We start from the raw sequence: 23,261 nt of genomic DNA on the forward strand, positions 1-23,261 counted from the left end.
GGGATCTCTCTGTATTATCTCTTACATCTACAATTACCTCAACTAAGATTTCAATAAACACATAGACAGTGACAGATAAAGTGCCACTAATTGTAAAACTAAATCAGAAATAAAATAAAGCAATGACAGAGAACCTCTCTCAGAGAAGCAAGAGGTACAACTCCCAGAGCAATTTCTACGCAGAGCACTGTGTCATGAAGCCTGATCCAAGGTCCTGTCTGGACTCGATGGGACAGAGAACCTCTTCAGTGATGTCTGCCCTCATGAAGGTGGAAGTGTTCTGAGAACCAGTGCTGCATATTCACCACCCATTCTATGTGGAATGCCTGTCTCATAATGACAGCGTGGCACTGTGACATCTGGGGTAGAGGGGGTTTTGAGGCAGCAGGGCCTGTTTAGGGCTCCACAAATTCCACCACCGTAGACCACGCCCTACAAGTGCAGGTGGGTTCCATGATTACATTGGGCTGTACACTAGCCAGATCCCTAAGGGGCTGAGACCGCGGCTAATGTACCAGAAGCTGATATTCACTGAACCTAGGCCCTGGGCTCTACATGAATCAATTTACTAAGTACTTTGCATGAATCAATTTACTTAATCCTTGCCACAGTCCTATTGCTTACTTTTGAAAACCAGGCTTTCCTGTTCCCACATGTTCCAACCCTGGTGTATTAGGTGTTCATTCTGCCACTGGGTCATTGGCTGATACTGACTTCTTCGTAGAGCAGCTGAGAGGTCCTTGAGAGTGACTCTCATCAGCCACTCCTCACTCACCTCCTGCCTCCTGTGCCCCAGGATTGCTGGCTAATTAGGAAGTGGCCAAGTGGGACCGTGCAGGGATCCTGGACTCTCCACAGCCACCACATCCTGTGGTCAGACAGCAGGGCTCCAGGGCAGGGATCTTGGGTAACAATAGCCGACCTATATGGAGCATTGCCTGGGTGCCAGACCCTGTGCTCAGAGTGCCACCCTTATCCTCTGACTTCATCCCCACCAGTGTCCTTTGAAATTGGTAGGATTTCCATCCCTTTTGCGTGATAAGGAGATCAAGGGTTACAGAGGTGAAGTTGCACGAGTGCACAAAGCTGATCAGTGGAGAGCAGTAATTTGCACCCAGGCTTGGCTGACCCCAGAGCCCAAGATCAAGTTCAGGGCTCTGCCCAGGGCTCAATAAATATGTAGTGGCTGAATGAAAGGCCACTGGATAAATCTCATCCTGGGGCAGTACTAGTAGTCCTTAGGGTATGTGTCCTGAAATGAGGTAGCAAACCCGTCAACTGGGGTATAGGTGTGATCTGAGCTTGCGCTAAAAGATCCATCTCCTTATAGAGGCGTCAAGGAGAATTGTTCGTTTGTTGAGTACCTGCTATACATCCAGTTCTGGGCTACACTTCAAGGATGAATGAGATGGGGTCCCCTGTTTTAGAAAACACTCAGTGTTGCTGTGGAGACCAATGTCAGTTGTGAACTTCATGGTCTTTACCTGCTGTTTCCATCTTGTGAGGCCCCGTCCACCTTGTCACCTTACTTCAGATCACCACTTGGGCTGTGACTGCTATACATTTCTGTGATGGGTTTCACTTAGGAGTTTTAGACTGTTTTGTGATTGGGCTTGGCTGGGCCTGGGCCTCCTGATATGGTGGTTTAACCCTCATTTCAGCATGTGTGTGTGTCATGGGGTGGTGAGAAGATACATTATTACAAGAATTTAAGCTTCCTTCCTTTTTCAAGTGTCTTTCCCATATACTCTCCTAATTGGTATTTTGTTGGGCTAGTGGTTCTCAAAGTGTATACCCTGGACCAGCAGCATTACCTAGGAGTTTTTTGAATGCAAAAGATCAGGCCCCAACCCAGACCTACTGAATCAGAATCCCTGGAGTTGGGCCCAGCAATCTGTGTTTTGACAAGCTCTCCAGGTGATCATGATGCAAGCTCAGGTTTAAGAATCATTGATAAATATAATGGGCCTGGGGTGTGGCTGGTACTTCATAAATGGTCAAGATGGTTACTTGGAATGATTCTGATACTTTGTAGAGCTGACTGGTCAAGAACTTGTTGTTCCTGAAGGAGGCAACATGGACCTGGTGCTCACCTTGGTTTCCCAAGGACCTTCCAGTATTTAGCCCTGAAAGTCCCACATCCTGGCAACTTCCTATAGTCACAGACATTTAGTTACCTTACTGATAAAGGGCAGTGTAGTGCCACCCATTGTTGCCAGGGTGCCATTATGTACCTTGAATTTACAGAGGGGCAAACTGTAACAGAGAGAAGTCACACAGTTAGGAAGGATGTGTTGGTGCCAGAATTCAAATCCAGATCTGTCTCACTCCAGAGTCTATGCTTTTAACAAATTTCTCAATGTGGAATTGCTATGTCAGAGCATGCATGTGAAAAATTTCTAATACTGTTGCTGAATTCTTATTCAAGAGGCACACCACATTGCCTCTTGTCCGAGAGCCACAGCAACACACATATTTTTATGCACTATTGTATATATATTAATGCAGCATATATATGTATGTATATATGACAATGCATATAAAAAGATGTGTTTTTTCCATATATTTACCAAATGGGGTTTTATGAACCTGTTTGATCTTTGCCAATCTGATAAGTAGGCCTCATTTTATTTTCTGGTGCACATTTTTGACTTCAGCTAGTGTGATCAGTTGGACAGCAAAGCTGAGTGTAATGGGACACAAGAAATTGAATAGGGCATACCTTGTTTTGGCTTAGTGTGAACTTCATTGAAATAAAGTCCTGATGCACTTCAGAGGCTCCTGGGGATACCATTAAAGATACATATGTGAAAATCTATGAGGATGAACATCCCATCTCATTGGTCCCAAGTGGATGCCAGGATTGAAGAGACCATTTTGTAAAGAAGCTTGCTGGTCTTTTCTAAGTCTCTAAAGACATCTTCCTCCTTCAAGTTGCAGTTACATGCTTGCGGCTTGGCTGAGAAACCCATTAGGTTACCTGGGGGAACAACATGTTGGAGGTTTAGGACACATACTCTCTCTATTCTTCAAGGGAATTTGTCTCTTTCTTCCAACCTCCTCAAATTGGTGGCAGAGTAGAGAGACATTTGATCTGTCAAAGGAATTGGAGAGGGCACAGGAATTCAAAAGCATGAGGTTGGAGGAGATATATACATGTTGTAAATGTGGAGAATCCACTAGCAAGTGAAAATGGGAGCCGTATTCCTGTACAAAGCCTACAAAAAGTTTGTGACTGAGGTGTTGAAAATACGGAAGTTCTGACTCTCAATTCTTGTTTGCCTTTGAGGTCTCAACTCACCTGGACTGTTTTACCCCAAGGGTTCAGGGATAGCCCTCATCTATTTGGCCAGTAATTAGCCCAAGACTTGAGCCAGTTCTCATATCTGGACATTCTTGTCCTTCAGTATGTGGATGATTTACTTTTAGCCACCCGTTCAGAAACCTTGTGCCATCAAACCACCCAAGCACTTTTTAACTTCCTCGCCACCTGTGGCTGTTTCCAAACCAAAAGCTCAGCTCTGCTCACAGCAGGTTAAATACTTACGGCTAAAATTATCCAAAGGCACCAGGGCCCTCAGTGAGGAATGTATCCAGCCCATACTGGCTTATCCTAATCCCAAAACCCTAAAGCAACTAAGAGGCTTCCTTGGCATAACAGGCTTCTGCCGAATATGGATTCCCAGGTATGGCGAAATAGCAGGCCATTATATACACTAATTAAGGAAACTCAGAAAGTCAATAACCATTTAGTAAAATGGACACCTGGAGCAAAAGTGGCTTTCCAGGCCCTAAAGAAGGCCCTAACCCAAGCCCCAGTGTTAAGCTTGCCAACAGGGCAAGACTTTTGTTTAAATGTCACAGAAAAAACAGGAATAGCTCTAGGAGACCTTACACAGGTCCAAGGGATGAGCTTGCAACCCATGGCATACCTGAGTAAGGAAACTGATGTAGTGGCAAAGGGTTGGCCTCATTGTTTACTGGTAGTGGCGGCAGTAGCAGTGTTAGTATCTAAAACAGTTAAAATAATACAGGGAGGAGATCTTACTGTGTGGATATCTCATGATGTGAATGGCATACTCACTGCTAAAGGAGACTTGTGTCTGTCAGACAACCGTTTACTTAAATATCAGGCTCTATTACTTGAAGGGCCAGTGCTGCGACTGCGCACTTTTGCAACTCTTAACCCAGCCACATTTCTTCCAGACAATGAAGAAAAAATAGAACATAACTGTCAAGTGATTGCCCAAACCTACACCATTCGAGGGGACCTTCTAGAGGTTCCCTTGACTGATCCCAACCTCAACTTGTATACTGATGGAAGTTCCTTTGTAGAAAAAGGACTTCAAAAAGCAGGGTATGCAGTGGTCAGTAATAATGGAATACTTAAAAGTAATCCCCTCACTCCAGAAACTAGTGCTCAGCTGGCAGAACTAATAGCCCTCACTCAGGCACTAGAATTAGGAAAAAAAAAAAGGATAAATATATATACAGACTCTAAGTATGCTTACCTAGTCCTCCATGCCAATGCAGCAATATGGAGAGAAAGAGAATTCCTACCTTCTGAGGAAACACCTATCAAACGTCAGGAAGCGATTAGGAGATATTATTGGCTGTACAAAAACCTAAAGACCTTACACTACCGGAGTCATCAGAAAAAAAAAAAAAGGGAAATAGAAGGAAACCGCCAAGCGGATATTAAAGCCAAAAGAGCCACAAGGCAGGACCCTCCATTAAAAATGCTTATAGAAGGACCCCTAATATGGGATAATCCCCTCCGGGAAACCAAGCCCCAGTACTCAAAAGAAAAAATAGAATGGGGAACCTCACGAGGACATAGTTTCCTCCCCTCAGGATGGCTAGCCACCAAAGAAGGAAAAATACTTTCGCCAGCAGCTAACCAATGGAAATTACTTAAAACCCTTCACCAAACCTTTCACTTAGGATTGATAGCAACCATCAGATGGCCAAATCATTATTTACTGGACCAGGCCTTTTCAAAACTATCAAGCAGATAGTCATGGCTTGTGAAGTGTGCCAAAAAACACCCCCTGCGCTTCAGGCCATACATTTCAATCCCTGTACCTGAACAATCGAACAACTTCAGCACAGAAATAAACACCACTTCCATTTTAGTAGGACCTCTTGTTTCCAATCTGCAAATAACCCATACCTCAAACCTCACCTGTGTAAAATTTAGCAATACTATAGACACAACCAACTCCGAATGCATCAGGTGGGTAACTCCTCCCACACAAATAGTCTGCCTACGCTCAGAAATATTTTTTGTCTGTGGTACCTCAGCCTATCGTTGTTTAAATGGCTCTTCAGAATCTACGTGCTTCCTCTCATTCTTAGTGCCCCCTATGACCATCTACACTGAACAAGATTTATACAATTATGTCGTACCTAAGCCCCACAAGAAAAGAGTACCCATTCTTCCTTCTGTTATCGGAGCAGGAGTGCTAGGCGGACTAGGTACTGGCATTGGCAGTATCACAACCTCTACTCTGTTCTACAAACTATCTCAAAAACTAAATGGTGACATGGAACGGGTCGCCGACTCCCTGGTCACCTTGCAAGATCAACTTGACTCCCTAGCAGCAGTAGTCCTTCAAAATTGAAGAGCTTTAGACTTGCTAACCACCAAAAGAGGGGGAACCTGTTTATTTTTAGGGGAAAAATGCTGTTATTATGTTAATCAATCCGGAATCATCACCGAAAAAGTTTAAAAAATTCGAGATTGAATATAACATAAAGCAGAAGAGCTTCAAAACACCGGACCCTGGGGCCTCCTCAGCCAGTGGATGCCCTGGATTCTTCCTCTTAGGACTTCTAGCAGCTATAATATTGTTACTCCTCTTTGGACCCTGTATCTTTAAGCTCCTTGTTAAGCTTGTCTCTTCCAGAATCAAAGCCATAAAGCTACAAATGGTTCTTCAAATGGAGCCCCAGATGCAGTCCATGACTAAAATCTACCACAGACCCCTGGACTGGCCTGCTAGCCCGTGCTCCAACATTGATGATATTGAAGGCACCCCTCCTGAGGAAATCTCAACTGCACGACCTCTACTACACCCCAATTCAGCAGGAAGCAGTTAGAGCGGTCATTGGCCAACCTCCCCACAGCACTTGAGTTTTCCTGTTGAGGGGGTTACTGAGGGACAGGACTAGCTGGATTTCCTAAGCCGACTAAGAATCCCTAAGCCTAGCTGGGAAGGTGACCACATCCACTTTTAAACACAGGGCTTGCAACTTAGCTCACACCCGACTAATCAGGTAGTAAAGAGAGCTCACTAAAATGCTAATTAGGCAAAAACAGGAGGTAAAGAAATAGCCAATCATTTATTGTCTGAGAGCACAGTGGGAGGGACAATGACTGGGATATAAACCCAGGCATTCGAGCTGGCAATGGCTACCCTCTTTGGGTCCCCTCCCTTTGTATGGGAGCTCTGTTTTCACTCTATTAAATCTTGCAACTGCAAAAAAAAAAAAAAAAAAAAAAAAAAATATGGAACTTGAAGGAATAATGAAAAGTAAAGTTAATGTATATATAACTTAGACTCTGAAAGGAAGAAGGAGGCCTCAAGAAAGGCCTAAAAACTGGAGGAGGCCCTGTTGCAGATGGCTAAAGTTTAGAAGAAAGGAAAGTTCTACATACCATGTTCCAAGAAAGAGGTAGTCTACATGAGTTGTGGAGTCCCTGTGTCCCTAATGTGGTAGCTTTCTGATGTGATTGCCTGCTTGGAAGATTTCTCCCAAGTGACTTACATTCACAGCAGGTAGACTGGACAACTAACATGGATTGATACCTTGGTGAAGAGAAAACCAAAAAAAAATTTCCTTTTTAGAATATTTCCAGCTCTATCAAGTTGTAATTTAGATACAATAAGATAATAAGATCCACCCATTTTATTTTTATTTTTTAGATGATTTAGATTTTATTTTATTTTTATTTATTTTTCTTCAATTTTTATTTTAAGTTTGGGGGTACGTGTGCAGGATGTGCAGGTTTGTTACACAGGTAAACGTGTGCCATGCTGGTTTGATGTACAGGTCATCTCATCACCTAGGTACAAGCCCAGCATCCATTAGCTATTCTTCCTGATGCTCTCCTTTTCCCAACACCCCGGCTCCAACAGGCCCCAGTGTGTGTTGTTCCCCACAATGTGTCCATGAATCCACCAGTTTTAAATGTATAGTTGGATGAATTTTAGTAATTTTATACGGTTGTGTAATCACCACCACAATTAAGTCATGGTGCAGTTTCGTATATCTAAAAAGTTTCCTTGTGCCAATTTATACCCTTCCAAGACCCCATTAATTTGCTTTCTGTCACTGCAGTCTTTTGTATTTGACTTCTTCTACTTAGCATAATATTTTTGAGATTTATCCATCTTGTTGGGTCTATCAGGATTTGTTCCTTTTAATTGCACAGTTTGTTTATCCATTCATCAGTTGATGGACATTTGAATTGTTTCCAGTTTGGGGCTACTATGAATCATGCTGCTATGAACTTTTGAGTGTGGGTATTTCTGGATGTATATTTTCACTTCTTTTGTGTAGATATCTAGAAGTGGAATTTCTGGGTTGTATGTTAACTGTATGTTTAATTTCATAACATATATAACCTCCTCCCATACTGTTTTCCAAGTGGTTATACCCACTTTGGATTCTCACCAGCAATTTCTATGAGAGATCTATTGATCCACATCCTTTCCATCACTTGGTATTGTCAGTCTTTTTAATACTAGCCATTTGAATGGGTGTGTAGTGATGTATCACTGTGGTTCTAATTCACATTTTTTCATATGGCTAATGATGTTGAGTATCTTTTCATGTACTTATTGGCCATTCATACACTTACTTTTGTGAAATGTCTGTTCAAACATTTTGCCTATTTTTAATTGGCTTATTTGTCTTTTTCTTACTGAGTGATAGGAAATGTTTATAGATTCTGGATACATGTTAGATGTATGTATTGCAAATATTTTCTCCTTGTATCTTATGAAGAATAGAAGTTTTGAATTTTATGAAGTCCAATTTATTAAATGTTTTCCTTTTATGGTTTATGCTTTTTGTATCCTAAGAAATCTCAGCCTACCACAAGGTCCCAAATTTTTCTCTTATGTCTTCTAGAAACTTGATAGTTTTAGTTTGTACATTTGGGTCTATCTATGGAACATTTTGAGTTAATTTTTGTGCCTGGTGTGAGATAAGGGTAGAGGTTTATATTCTTTCCCAAATGGATATCCATTTGTTCCAGCATTATTTGTTTAAAAAACAGGCCGGCCGTGGTGGCTCACGCCTGTAATCCCAGCACTTTGGGAGGCTGAGGCGGGTGGATCATGAAGTCTGGAGTTTGAGACCATCCTGGCCAACATGATGAAACCCTGTCTCTACTAAAAATACAAAAAATGAGCCGGGCATGGTGGCACGTGCCTGTAGTCCCAGCTACTCGGGAGGCTGAAGCAGGAGAACTGCTTGAACCCAGGAGGCAGATCTTGCAGTGAGCCCAGATTGTGCCACTGCACTCCAGCCTGGTGACAGAGCGAGACTCCGAGACTCCGTCTCAAACAAAACAAAACAAAACAAAAACAAACAAACAAACAGTCCTAGTTTGTTTGTTTGCTTTTCTTCTGTTTTCTCTCTGTACTTGTATTTTACTGAGCTAAGGGTCCGTTGTCTGTATCTGGTAACAATCATGTGGATCTAAATTGTAAGTGGAAATACTACTGTTGCTTCAGAAATGGAGCCTAGGTTGTAAGGAATATTAGTAATTTGGCTATGGCATTTGGTAATGTTTTGTGGATGTGTAAACTAAGGATACCACAAGAAGAACCAATACACATGTTAATCCATTTATCCTCACCTATCTTTGAAGACCTCCAAAAATATTAACTGTAATTTAGCTCAGAAACTATCAAACCTAGCCTCATCTGAATCACTTAAATTGTCTTAAATTTTGCCTTCAATTGTCCTTTATTTTTATTGTAGAGATAATGACTGCATATGGTTTCTAAGAAATTGAACAGTATAGAAGAGAAAGTTTCCTGTTTATTTACTAGTTTCCAGTCAAGAGGTAACTGTTTAAAATTAATTTGAATTTTGAGTTTTTCTGATGATTAACATCATTACTTTAAAAATGTGTTTATACTTCTAGCTCTTGCTTTATCATTTTTAGACAGTATTTGTTGACTACTAAGAAAAATGAAGGATTTAACATATGCTACCTCTTTAACCTATTTCTGACTTCCTCCAAATTTTATTATATTATTATAATTTTCAGAACATCTTAGTGGTTGCCTTTACAACTTTAAGTAATATACTTAAATCTCTATTTCTGGATCCATTAATTACATACAACGTTTATTGGCGCTCATTTCAGAGATGCTTGCCTACACTCTTTCTCCCTCCACTGCTTCCGACTTCTGCCAGGTATAATATTTCTTGTATGTTATTAAGCTCATAGTAACTACTGCCTGTGTTCAAATCTCTGTTCCAACACTTGTTATCTATGTAATCTTGGGTAAATTACTGAACGTCTCTGTGCCATCACTTTCCTCAATTGTCAAATGGAGATGATAACATCTTCATAGGGTTGCTGTAAGATAAAATTTCACTGAAATCGAAATAAATATTTCAAAGCACTTAAAATTATATTTGGCATATAGTAAGTGCTTTTTAAGTGTTAAATATAAAAATAAAATGACAAAATTTAAAAATAAAAAAATTCTGTTTTACAACTTTAATGAAATCTTCAGACTGCTGTATCTCTAGCTTGATTAAAAAAATCAAACCAATGGGCAAAAGAGATAAACATTTCACCAAGGAGGATATACAGATGGCAAATAGGCACATGGAAATATGTTCAACATCATTAATTGTTAGGGAGACTTAAATTAAAAACACAATGAGATCACTATGTATCTATCAGAAGGGCTAAAATTTGTACAGTAACACATGCTTTGGAAGAGGTGGTGAAACTGGATCACTCATACAGTGCTGGTAGAAATGTAAAATGATACAGCCACTTTAGAAGAAAGTTTCTTTTGGAGGAAAGTGGGTATAGATATAAGAAGGAAACATAAGGGATTCTTGTGGTGATGGAATTGTTCTGTATTTTGACTGTACCTTGACTGTACCAATGTCAATATCTTGGTTATGATATTGTGTTATAATTTTACAAAGTGTCGTCAGTGAGGGAAATGGGGTAAAGGATACACTGGATCCTCTGGCTCTCTCTGTATTGTTTCTTACAACTACATGTGAATCTAAGATTACCTTAAAATGAAAAGTTTACAGCTAGGCATGGTGGCACATGCCTATAATCCTAGCACTTTGGGAGGCTGAGGCAGACGGACTGCTTGAGCCCGGGAGTTTGAGACCAGCCTGGCCAACATGGCAAAGCCCCATCTCTACGAAAAAAATACACAAAATTATCCGGGCATGGTGGCACGTGCCTGTAGTCCCAGCTACAGAGAGGGTGCTGAGGTGGGGGAATGACCTGAGCCCGGGAAGTTGAGGCTGCAGTGAGCCATGATTGCACCACTGCACTACAGCCTGGGTAATGGGAGTGAGACCCTGTCTCAAAAAAAAAAAAAAATTAAAAGCTTAATTTAAAAAATTGAACCAATAAACAGCGTTTCCAATAGTAAATTCCATGTAAATAATATTCACAGCAAGACCAAGGTGTGTGATTGGACCCAGAGAGAAAAAAATGTAACCATATGGCACCAAAGAAGTGCTGCTTGAAGGAGAATGCTTCAAGTGTCAAAATCAAATGGATTATCTTTTCTTACACTCCTTCAATGGCTCAGGATGATGCCACGTGTTAGTATGCTTCTTATTAGAACCAAGATCATAATACAGCTTTTTGTTTTCTTTAGAGTTCCTAATTGTATTTGTTTTATTGACAACCAAAACCACATGTAAATAACTTCTGGTTTCTTATATGGGTTGATTATGGAATTTGTGTCCATCTTAAGAGTATTTTTCACTGACCTCCCTGACTTCCTGTTCTAATTATGACCTATTGCTTTCTTGGTCAGCTTAGTAGTTGTCATCTTGAAATTTCTTTTATGCACACCTCTGTGATGCTTTAAAATACAGATTCCCAGGCCTCACCCCAGACCTATTCAATTGGCTGGGGTATGGGTGTTTTTGAAAAGCTCCCTCAAGTGATTTTGCTGATTAGTCACATTTGGGACCCCATTTAGCTAATCCTTAGAGTCCTATAGCTGCTGTTATTATTAATAATAATAGTAATAATATATACTGTTTATTGAGGATTTACTATGTAACAGGCTTTATTTTAGGTGTGAGTGCATGGTCTCATTTACTCTTTACTACAAACCTATGAAGTAAGGACTATTATTATCATCATTTTAGAGAAAACTGAATATCAGAGAAATTAAATCACACCACTTTCAAGCTCCAGAGCCAGAATTAGAACTCAGTTTTGTCTGACAATATAATCTTCAATTTTAACCAACAAACTATGTTAATTTTAAAGTAGGTGGGTGTGGTGACGCTTGCCTGTAATCTCAGCTACTCAGGAGGCTGAGGCAAAAGGATGGCTTGAGCAGAGGAGTTCTGGGTTGTAGTGCCCTATGACGATAGGGTGCCTGCACTAGGTTCAGCATCAATATGGTGACCTCCTGAGAGCAAGGGACTACCAGGTTGCCCAAGGAGGGGTGATCTAGCCCAGGAATGGAGCAGGTCAAAACTCCTGTGCTTATCAGTAGTGGGATGGTATGTGTGTGAATAGCCGCTGAACTCCAGCCTGGGCAACATAGTTAGACCCCGTCTCTAATAATTAAAATTATAAGATAAAATAAAAACTCAGTAGCTCCATGGAAAACATCTAGAAGTCAAAGAGCTTAGTATTGGAGCACAGGTAAAAGGAGAGTATGTATTGTCAACAAATTTTACAGCTAAAACCTGACATCTTTTAATTAGTTAATTAAGCAATGTCATTTTTGTAAGATACCAGAGATATGAAAAACGGGCCATGGATTAAATGGAAAGCCCTGGGGATTTCTTTTGAACTCTGAATATTTTGGATGTCATAGAAACAATTTATAAGTAAACTCTTGTTGAACTAGAGTCTTAATATTTACAAATAACGTATGCTCTTACTGTTCTGATACGGACTGATCCCCAGAATCCATCAGGTTAAAAAGAAATGGCATATGCTACCATTTATATTAAAAAGAAGAGGGATGCATATTTGCATTTGGTGATGAAGACATAAGAATCTCTGAAAAGATACACAAGAAGAAAACAAAACAAAACAAAAACCCATGCCCTAGTAATGGGCACAAAAATAACGTTTGAAATCTAAATCTAAATTGTTAATAAAATGTGCAAAACTACTACACACACATATAATGGAATAGTGAATTTTGTGTTACATTAGATCACTGTATGCTTTCATACTGTATTGGTTGTTTTTCTTGTGTAATTTAAAAACCAAACCAACTCTGCTAATTAAGCTCTCCCTGGCCAAGAGCTCACTTGGATCTCTGACAGTTCCTAGTTAAAGCCTAGTTTGTGGTTTTTGACAACAAACCAAGACCCTGTTGTTTGCTTCAAGAAAGCTGGCTGGTTTTAGTTTCTGGCATTATTCTGGGGGGTACCCTTATCCCAACAAGTCACTAATTGTCTTGACCATGACTTACAGTTGTGCCAGATTTTTCTTGGTTGCTTTCTGTTTGAGTCAGGTAGTAAGAGTAGTGATGAAATTATTGTTAATTTGGTTTTGATTTATGACAGATTATCTTGGAAACAGGAATAGGTGGTATACAGAGATGACTATATAAGGACAAAATCAACTAAATCAAATTATTTGAACTAATATGTGTTTTTGGCATATATTTTAATTCTTCCACTCATTGCTTCTTAATTAGTCTAGAACTCCAAAGATGAAAACATCATAGGACATTTAATAAGATGAAATGTTAAAAATGTACTACTTCTGATAATGGTATTCAATGTCAATAGTATTTAGTAATTTTTTTTTTACAATTTTCCTCATTTATTTTGGCATGTTTAGGAATAGGAAAAGAGGCTGAGTCAGAGACCTTCAGTACTTTTATTATTAAATCTACCTCATCTCCCTTTTTGTATCTCCCTACCAGAAAAGAAATGGCCTAAGAATTTCCACCTGCTTAGTTTGATATTTTAAGACATCTCATAACACTTTGATTTCACTAACATATTACCCAAAGCAACTAGTTTCCATCACCTTTACCCTCTTACGAATCCCCAAACTAAGCTTAAGAGGAAATCACAAGCCGTGTAAAAAAAAAAAATTAGAACTATTTCTTCCTTCCCCTATATGCTCTACTGGTGTCACTTAACTAAAACTCCTCAGTCTGCGACCTTGAGAAACCTAGAGGCTAAATAGGAGGAGTAGAGTATTGAAGGTCATCCTCTCGACCACCACCCAAAAAGAAGAGCATATATTCATCCTAACAGGTATGTGTTTTCATAATTATGGCAGATGGTGATTGAAGCAAAGGCAATTCAAAAAGGGGGGCACGTGAAAGCAATAATTTTGAATGTTTGACATTTGTTTTGAAACTACCTTACTACCCCGTACCCTTTACCATCTGTCTGTTATCCCTCCCAACACCCACCTCTGTCTTCCCACAGGGCTCCATTGTGTGCAGTTCCTGTTTCTCAGGGGCGGAGCTGTGGGAGGCAGCCATGGGTGCCATAATAGGCACCTGCGGCCAGCACAATGGGCTGTGGGTGCTTGTGGGAGAGACAGATTGATGTATTGTGCATGGGGGAGGAGGGCTGTCACTTGAATCCATGTGAACCCAGGCTTTAGGGGCAAGGGAGATTGACAGCTTTTGTAGGTTGCATTTCTTTTTCAAAGCTTGGCTTTAATAGACAGTAAGTTTGGGGCCCCAGGCTTTCACTCCCATAATTCTAACAGGGCAATCACGAGCATTCAGCATTTCTTTTTACCCCCCTTGTTACGCATTAAATGATTTCAGTAAAGGAATGTGCAGCATTAATTAGAATTTGTTAGCAGATACCAAGGGGAAAAGTTTCTTCACAACAACTATAGGAGGTGTCATTTGTACAAAGACTTTTTTGTTTTCTTTCCCCATTACATTATCACTGCAATATGTAAGGTAGTGATTCTTTTCATTTAAATTAAGTGGAAAGCTACTAAATCTTGTTTTATTCTCCAAAAAGAATAAGGTCCTTAACACTTATCTTTTAACTTCTTTCATTTCCTAAGGTTGGTGTTTACTTTTGCTTTCAGTCTGACCCATTTACTGGTCTGTGTGGTTGTGTATCCAGTTTTGTGTACCATTTAGCTCTTACAATTACAAGCAACCCACTACTGATATATAAGGATTGTTTCCAGGTGAAAATAGCTAGCAATAATACTGGAAATCATTGATACTGGAGCCCATTTTCGTAATGGTATACTGAGAAACGCTAAAAATGAGATTGCTATAGATTTGTGTCCTAACTTATTTTCTAACACTATTTTTCCCTACTTGATATTTAACCTTAGCCAAGACACCAAACTTATGGAAGAATGAGGCAGTGGCAAAGAAATATTTTTTTTCCCGCAGAAAACTTACTCCTAAACCATGTCAGTTTTTTTTTTAAACATCAAAAGTTCTCCCTCACACACATACACAGATAGCATCATTTCCTTAGAGCAAGTAAGAAAATGGTCTTTTTGTTTAGTATCTGTTTCCTATTATTTTAAAAATAATCCGGACATTTTAGAATTATATAGGAAGAAAACTAATGTCAGATAGGATATCTTATAAACACACTCTCTGGCATCCTGAGAACTGATAAAACATTACTAAAATTTCTGGTGTGATTTTTTTCTAACATCTCTCATATAAAATCATTTTCTCAGTAGAAGGAGTTGGAGGCTAATTGAATTAGAATTTCCCCTACTCAATTGTTTTATTTAAATGTGTTAAGGACAACAGTGAAAAATATTGTCTACCATTATTTCTCAGAAAGAACATATTCTCACACAGTTGTCCGGCTCTGTCTATAATAATAATTTGGCGCAATGGTTTAAAAAGTAGTGGGGTGATAATAATTAGGGTGTGCGACACAGAAATTTCAATGTGGGATTCAACATTTCACCATGCAGGGCATGAAAATTGCCGACCAGGGCTGGTCAGCTCTAAGTACTAATTAACTAATTAATCAGGTGCTGAAACCAACTGAATGGAGGATACCAGCCAGACAACTCAAGCCCAAGCAGAGTGTTGTGCTCTTTAAAAGACAGAGCAGTCTTTCTTCTTGGTTTTTAACCCAGTCAAAAATGAGAGGAGAAAGTAGGATATGCTGTCCTACTGTCAGTCACTTTGGTCTAAGCTTTTTACTTAGAGAAAATAAAACAAAAACATGTGCCTGTGATAATGACTGTGATGCACCAGATGTAGGGCAACCCTCAAAGCTCTGCAAACCTGCTTACTCCTTGGCCATGAAGTATTAATATTTCAGGTCTGGTGAGGGGTGGGGGATGAAGTAGGGTCTGCCTTCTTGGTTTCTTCCACAATATATATTTTTTAACATAAAAGAATGAGAAACGTATCTCTCCTCTTAGGCTGATCTTAGGTCTTTTGCCTCATCCTTCGTTTATGTAAATGAGAAGAGTCCAATTACACATATGGAAAAAGGGTTTAATGAATCGTGAAAAAGCCCGGTTTGCAGAGAAAGGGCACAATTCACTCTTCTTCTCTTCTAAATTTAACTTAGAAACATGTATTTCTTTTAAGGGAGATGATAAAACTTAATGATAATTTTATTTTATGTACTAATTTTCATTCTTGGGAATTATTAGACATATTTTGCTAGAAGAGTTAGCTTTATTTATGTCTGTAAGGCTTTCTGGATACTTAGCAATTATTCCACAACAAAAACTGCAAAATTCTAACTTTTTTCTCTAAATCTTAAAAATGATTACGTTAGTTCCTCCAACTTTTGATGTTATTTTTAGCTCAGTGATTTTTTTTTTGTTTGTTTGTTTTTAACACAGTTTGCTCTGGAATTGTCTGCACTGAAAAAACATTGCATTATTACAAGGGATTTGTTATTGAACCCAAGGAAATGACGTTAGTGTTCCATACCGTTTTAGCTTAATTTTGGTATTATTATGATGTTTTAACTAGCTAGAATTTTTAGGGTTTTGGAAATTAGTTTTTTTTTTTCCTTTTTTTTCCTAAAAGGGACTGAACTTTATATTAGAACAGAAAATCTCGTGTTTGAGCATTCATTTTTATTTCCTTTTTTCTTTCCCCTTGCTCCTTCATCTTGGGATTTTCAATAGTTGAGAGTAGTCCACACAGAATCCACTCTCCACCCCATTTTTCTTAATGACAAAAACCTTTGCAAGAATGAAGGGGGGATCAATACCATTTCTGACCGTTACTCTTGTAATTTGATAAGTATGAAACTAACCCCGAAGTAGTGCTTTGCAGGGACAGCAGGAAAGTTCTCAATCAGGACTGGAGCACTTTCCGGAGACCTAGTTTAACAACTTCAACGGGCACTTGGGGAAACTGAGGCCCAAGAAGACGAGGCAGGCACTTTCCCTGTGATTTTTTTTCTTCTACAAAATACTACTTTCGTCCACGGAAAACACTTTTCTCGGGCACCTAGTGTGGGGAGGACATTGCTAGGGTCCAGACTGCCTGCCTACCCACGAGGGCCGCGCTCTTTCCACTTTTATTCCCCCGGCCTCCCCGGATCGGCGCCCTGGATGTGATCGACACCATGAAGTTGCCCCATAATCCTCTCTGGCAACATAGGATGTAAAATTTGATCAGCTCATTGGATGAAGCCGACAAGTCCCAAAAATGTGTGAAAAGGGGGCTAAGAGGTAGGCAGGCGCCGCGTTGAGGCAGCGCTCCTGCCAGCCCCGCTCCGAGTTATCGGTGCTGCAGCCGCGGCGCAAGCGGGGGCTGGGACCGAGCTGCGGGGCCGCAGCGGCGGCGGCGACCGAGGCGGCGGCGGCGGCGGCGGCTGGGAGGCCGCGGCGCCATGGGGGGGCCGTAGGAGCGGACCGTGGGGCCGGAAGGGGGCATCGCGGCGGCGCCGGCGGCTGCGGGGTTATCTCCGCGGCCGCGAAGGCAGCATCCACGCCGTTGCGGGTGGCTGAGCCGGCGGGCGGGGCGGGGCGTGCACCAGGGCCGCGGGCGACTAGCGCTGTAGCAGTTGGCCTCAGGGCCCCGCCGCCCGCGCGCCCGCCCGCCCGCAGGGCGGCGCACGCGAAGGAGGCGGCGGCCGCAGAAGGAGGCGGGGAGCTCGGAGCAGGAGGTGAGGAGGTGGAGGACCAAGAGTAGGCAGCAGCGGCGGCGGCGGAGGAGGAGGCGGTGGTGGAGGTGCGCGGCCTGAAGAGGAGGATGGAGGAGCAGCAGAAGGAGGGCGAGGCCGAGGTCGCGGAGCACTGGTTTTCCAAGTGGGAGCGCCAGTGCCTGGCTGAGGCCGAGCAGGAGGAGCAGCTGCCCCCCGAGCTGCAGGAGGAGGCGGCTGCAGAGTTGGCAGGGCTCAAGAGCGAGAAGCAGAAGCTGTGGCACCTCTTCCAGATCTCGGCCACCGCCGTTGCTCAGCTTTACAAGGATTCTGGGTGCCAACAGCAAGGACTTTCCATGTGGGACCCCTTCCAGAATGCGGCCATGGCCGTGACCAGCCTCTACAAAGAGAGCGGGGATGCCCACCAACGAAGTTTTGACTTGGGTGTCCAGGTTGGCCACCAGCGTCGCATCAAAGATGTGCTGGAGTGGGTGAAAAAGGGCCGGAGCACCATTCGTCGCGAAGACTTGATTAGCTTCCTGTGTGGCAAAGTGCCCCCCGCTCCTCCTCCACCTCGCACTCCTAGGACACCCCCGAAGCCACCCACTGGGGTCACCAGCCAGGCTGTGGCAACTGAGTCCAGCTCATCGGTGGACGTCGACCTGCAGCCCTTCCAGGAGGCGATCGCCCTGCATGGCCTCAGTGGTGCTATGGCCGGCATCAGCATGCGATCGGGCGACTCGCCTCAAGACAGCGGTGTCGCCAGCAGTGGGCGCCGAAAAACTAGCTTCTTGGAGGACGACTTGAATCCCTTCGACTCAGAGGAACTGGCCCTCCACCTGGACAGTGGGGGGATCCGCAAGCGCACCTCGGCCCAATGCAGTGATGGCATCACAGACTCCCCAATCCAAAAGCGCAACCGAATGGTCTAAACTGCCTCATTGGTTGCCTGCCGCCATATTGCTTGAGAGTGAACTCAACCGTCGACATGCTTGTCTAAAGGTTACTGGAGACCATTTTTCTTCCCTTCTCTAAGTTAAACAAAGATTTCTAACAATTTTGCCATAAAGAAACTTTAAAAGTATTCCAGAAGAGGCTTCATATGACTCTGACTTTCCAAAAAATATAATCCTAGCAGAGAACAAATATGTAGTAGTTAGCAGGATCATTTAAAGCAAACGTATCTGGTCAAGGCAGGAGTCTGATTTATCTTGTTCACAGTTATATTCCTCAGCACCTAGCACAGTTCCAGGTGCTCAATAAATGTTCATTGAATGAATAAATGTGACCTTATTTATTCTTAAAGGGAAGTCATAGCAGGTGTTTACTTGGTTATAGAATACTTTTTTCTTTGATAATTGTTGGCTTTAATGGTCTTTGCCAATTCAATTGCATTGTATCAAAATGTAAAACTTGACATCTTTGTGAAATCTGGAGTCTTCCATTTTTACCTCACTATACCATGCACCTAATTTCTAGAAAGAAACTGCAAGTAATACATATTAGGCTGTGATTTTTTTAATTTTGAAAAATTGTTGATTTTGGTGATTATGTGATGCTGCAAAGAGGTGCTGTGGTGGTTACGCAGGTATTACTTAATATTGAGTCAATTCAGTGCTTTTTTGGGGAAAACTAAACCATCAACTGAGACCCTGATGAGATGGTGGCCCAGTGGTGCTCTTTTTTTTTAGGAATGTAAAAATTCCTTTTTCTGAGGTTACATCTTTTTTATGATCTCTGTTTTGAAGTGGAAGACCAAGTAGTCAGAATGAACTTCTGGGTTTTTTTTTTTTTTTCTTTTTTTTTTTTTTTTAAGACAGAGCCTCGCACTGTTGCCCGGGCTGGAGTGCAATGGCGTGATCTCGGCTCACTGCAACCTCCGCCTCCCGGGTTCAAGGGATTCTCCTGCCTCAGCCTCCCGAGAAGCTGGGATTGCAGGTGCCTGCCACCACGCCCGGCTAATTTTTTGTGTTTTTAGTAGAGACGGGGTTTCACTATGTTGGCCAGGCTGGTCTCGAACTCCTGACCTTGTGATCCGCCCACCTTGGCCTCCCAAAGTGCTGGGATTACAGGCGTGAGCCACCGTGCCCAGCCTTTTGAACTTCTGGGTTTTAATTAAGGGTACAGCATGGTATAACCAAAAGAGTGTGAACTTCGTTTTAAAAGGACCAACAGCAGAATCCTAGCTCTATAAATTAGCTGCATGATTTTGAACAAGTTACTTAATGTCTATTGACCTCAGTTTTTCATCTGTAAAATGGAACTGTGTGTCTCCTAAGGTGGTTGTGAGGATCAGGTGAAATTTATATTTCAAGTGTCCAGCACAATCTTGGCACATAAAATACTCAATAAAGGTTCTCCCTTCTCTATAAATAAAAATCAATAAAACATTAAAATCATTTTATTTTAGAAAAAGCAGAAAAGTAGATCAGCTTTAAAATCAGCAAGTAGAATCTCTGTGTTTGAACTGGAAATTACTGTTTCACATTAGAAACTTGCCTAAATATCACAGATCTTGTGTAAGTGTGTTGAGCTCATGAGCACTCAGGGTCACCAATCTGGATACTAGGGCAACCTTGGAGTTCCTGAAGTTGCCTGAAGGATGCACTTTGCAATTAGGGGTAATGAAACATCTACCACCTCTGGCCTGAAAAAATATGAGGAGGAGGGTGTAAAGTAGAAAAAAATTGGAAGCCAAGGTCCTAGGGCACCTAAAAGGCTAAAGTGGTTTTAAATGAGGTTGGGGTAGGGTGGGGTGGGGTGGTGTGGAGGCGATGAAGGAGGTAGAGCAGGTGGGGATCTGGGGGGTTGGGGAGGGGAGGGGAGGTGGGAGTATGATTATTGAAGTGGGGGTGGGGAGTTAAAAAGCCCAATCTTCCCAGGGTCTCCCAAAACCAGTGCATAAAATATTATAGATTGGCAAAACCTTGCCTTTATGTTCACACCAGAGTTGTTTCTGCTTCATTAGCATGGCCTTTCGAGTAGATTTGTAATTGATGAATGCATTAAAATAATAAAATAATGCAAATTCCATGATATAATAAAAACTGGCTGGCCGGGCACGGTGGCTCATGCCTGTAATCCCAGCACTTTGGGAGGCCGAGGTGGGCAGATCACCTGAGGTCAGGAGTTCGAGACCAGCCTGGCCAACATGGTGAATGAAACCCCATCTCTACTAAAAATATAAAAATTAGCGGGGCGTGGTGGTGGGCACCTGTAATCCCAGCTACTCAGGAAGCTGAGGCAGGAGAATCACTTGAACCCAGGAGGTGGAGGTTGCAGTGAGCTGAGACCGCACCATTGCACTCCAGCCTGGGCGACAAGAGCAAAACTCCGTCTCAAAAAAAAAAAAAAAAAAAAAAAAAAAAAGAGAAAAAAACCCAGAGAAGAACTGGCTATTGAGGTACTGTGCTAGGTCCTGAGAAGGGATATAAAAAAGCATAAAAACAATTCTTATCCTCAAAGAGCACATCCTGCCTTGGAAGATAAATTATGTAGCCAAAAGCACGCTTCTAACTGGGAAAAGTGCCCAAGGGCTGTGCAGAATTCAGAGGTCAGAGACTCTCCTTGCTGAGAGGGTCACAGCTTCTGGAAGAAGTAGCATTTGAACCGGGCCCAGAAAAATGGGTAGGAAGGGAGTGTCCAGGGATGCCAACAGGGAACGGTGTCTAACAAAGTTTGAGAAGGAGCAAACAGTGAAGTGAGTTCAGGGAATCACAAGAAATGGGTAGGGGAGGTACAAGCCAAGGTGTTTAGGGTCTCAAATGCCTGTCCCCAGTTCTTTAGGTTCTCTCTAGGTGCAGGAGTTAATACTGCTTTAGGAAGATTAGCTTGACAGAATGCCAGCTTGTCCAAAACTGAGACACTGGGGCAGAGACAGAGACAGGACAGGGTATCCCTGTAGGATGCATTTTACTGGGGATGTTGCCATTCAGTTAACCCGCATTGGGGGAGATGTTTACCTTGACAGGGCTTTCTCTGACAAGCCTTTGCTCATCCCACCCTCCCACAACACAAAGCTTACAAGGTAGGAAACAGCTTCACTGTGTTCTACAGTGCTTCTTTTTTTTTTTTTTTTTTTTTGAGGCGGAGTCTCGCTCCCTCCCAGGCTGGAGTGCAGTGGTGCGATCTCGGCTCACTGCAAGCTCCACCTCCCAGGTTCACGCCATTCTCCTGCCTCAGCCTCCCAAGTAGTTGGGACTACAGGCGCCCGCTACCATGCCTGGCTAATTTTTTTGTAATTTTAGTAGAGTCGGGGTTTCACCATGTTAGCCAGGATGGTCTCGCTATCCTGACCTCCTGATCCACCAGCCTCGGCCTCCCCAAGTGCTGGGATTACAGGCGTGAGCCACCGCGCCCAGCCTACAGTGCTTCTTTAAGGCTAAGAAAGCCTTCACTTCCAACAGCAGTATCTCTTGGAAGGCCAGTTTTGAAGAAACAAAGTGGCCATTCCCTTTTTTTTCCTTCCTGCTTCTTATGCACTGGAATCATTGGGATCTATAGGACTGATCAACCGCAGCAGTTTTAACAGGTAGGTAGGGAAGGTCATAAGAGGTCATGTCAATATGAGGGCAAGGACCTCATCTGTCTTGTTTACTTCTGTAATCCCTAGTACAGTGCCTGATCCATATGGGCACACAATGAATATTTATTAAATGAGTGGAGGAGGAGGACTCTATCCAGACCCAGGTATATCTATTCTCCTTTCCCCTTTCTCTATTTACTTACTGCCCAGGGAAGGCACCTGAAGCCCATACCCTAATTTGTAGATAATTCTTTGCTGTGTATCTTTACCCTCATTCCTAACTACTAGATTCAGCTTTTTGCAGTGTGGTGCGTCCCATGACCACCGCTCATGAGAATCTCCTGAGGAGTTTGTGAAACTGGTGACTTCAGAATCGCCCTTGCTGAATTAAAATCTCAATGGGAGTTTCCCCAAAGCTACCCGCTTTCAGGAAGAGGTCTCAGTAATTGTGTTGCACAGCGAAGTCTGAAAACCCATCCTGATGCTGATTGTGATGGATTCAAGTGATGGATTCAAGGAGCTAATTTTAAATTGATTATTGTTGTTGAACTTTCTATGCAGGCTTAAAGTGAATCTCCCCATTTGTAGATATCTTTATCACTTTGCATAGTTCATACATTCTCTTCCAGGGAGCTTAGATAAGACTGAGGCAAACACTTGTTAATAACTGAAATTTCCTCATTTTTTTCCTTTTTATAGGAGCCTGAGAGAAGAAGGCTCTGATTTCCTAACCTCTAGCTGCATATTTTATCCATTAGACCTCTGCTTTCTGGTGAAAACTGCATATGCACTGATAGTTTGGGAACACTGCAATTAGATCACTTTGCCTTTTATAAAATGATGATGGAGTAGGGATCAGGGGAGGATTGGTTGCTGATCATCTTGGGCCTTTGTGGATGTCTACAGACCTTTATGTTTGATCTTCTAGTAGTATATGCACGGTTACTAGATTGCAAATACAAAGCCAAAAGGGACCTTAAGGATTATTCAGGGCAGGGTCAACTATTCATTTTACAAATGCGGCAACTGACCTCACTAGAAAGGGCCACAGTGACTTATTGGTAAGTTCCAGTCCATTGCTCCCTTCATTGTACCTCCCTTAGTTACATTGTGTATGACCTTGTAATTAATATGTTGATGGTCAGGTGGGGCTGGGGAACTTGATTATGAAGCCACTCTGGCATGGTAAGCGTACTCTTTTTACTACGCTGTGTTTATTTAGGGGAAGCTGTTGGAATTGTGCATTCAGGGAACACAAGTAACCCCTTGCCACTGCCACTGTGCTCTAGCCACCAGCCAAACTAGGCCACTTGAACACTTGAAGTTTCCTGAATTTTCTATAATCTCTGCCTCTGGGCCCTTTTGCCTTGTTGCTCCCTTGGTCTGGAATGCCCCCCGTTGCTTGCCTAACTCCTATTCAGCCTTCAAAGCTCACCTCAGG

The 23,261-nt window shown here is 42.2% G+C and overlaps 1 protein-coding gene and 1 pseudogene across 1 annotated transcript, besides 3 other annotated features; both read left to right on the forward strand.

Moving 5' to 3' along the window:
• RN7SL727P (RNA, 7SL, cytoplasmic 727, pseudogene) lies at positions 11,518 to 11,813 on the forward strand (annotated as a pseudogene).
• Positions 12,883 to 15,049: an enhancer, noted in NCBI's record as "VISTA enhancer hs427". NCBI's record gives its function as "enhancer in: hindbrain (rhombencephalon)[4/5] | forebrain[5/5]" and the evidence as "EXISTENCE:transgenic organism evidence [ECO:0001131][PMID:17130149]".
• Positions 17,221 to 17,290: a silencer, noted in NCBI's record as "silent region_21038". NCBI's record gives its function as "represses an Ori minimal core promoter by ATAC-STARR-seq in GM12878 lymphoblastoid cells {active_cell/tissue: GM12878}" and the evidence as "EXISTENCE:reporter gene assay evidence [ECO:0000049][PMID:35858748]".
• HAPSTR2 (HUWE1 associated protein modifying stress responses 2) lies at positions 17,341 to 18,574 on the forward strand. Its single transcript, NM_001271560.3, has one exon. It carries the CDS (start codon positions 17,406 to 17,408, stop codon positions 18,225 to 18,227), a length of 822 nt encoding a protein of 273 aa, NP_001258489.1. The 5' UTR covers positions 17,341 to 17,405; the 3' UTR covers positions 18,228 to 18,574.
• Positions 17,527 to 18,498: an enhancer, noted in NCBI's record as "H3K27ac-H3K4me1 hESC enhancer chrX:139174023-139174994 (GRCh37/hg19 assembly coordinates)". NCBI's record gives its function as "activates a minimal SCP1, AML or CMV promoter by ChIP-STARR-seq in naive H9 embryonic stem cells {active_cell/tissue: H9 hESC(naive)}" and the evidence as "EXISTENCE:reporter gene assay evidence [ECO:0000049][PMID:30033119]".

This window comes from Homo sapiens, chromosome X, assembly GCF_000001405.40.
Source record: "Homo sapiens chromosome X, GRCh38.p14 Primary Assembly".
NCBI classification, from domain to species: domain Eukaryota; kingdom Metazoa; phylum Chordata; class Mammalia; order Primates; family Hominidae; genus Homo; species Homo sapiens.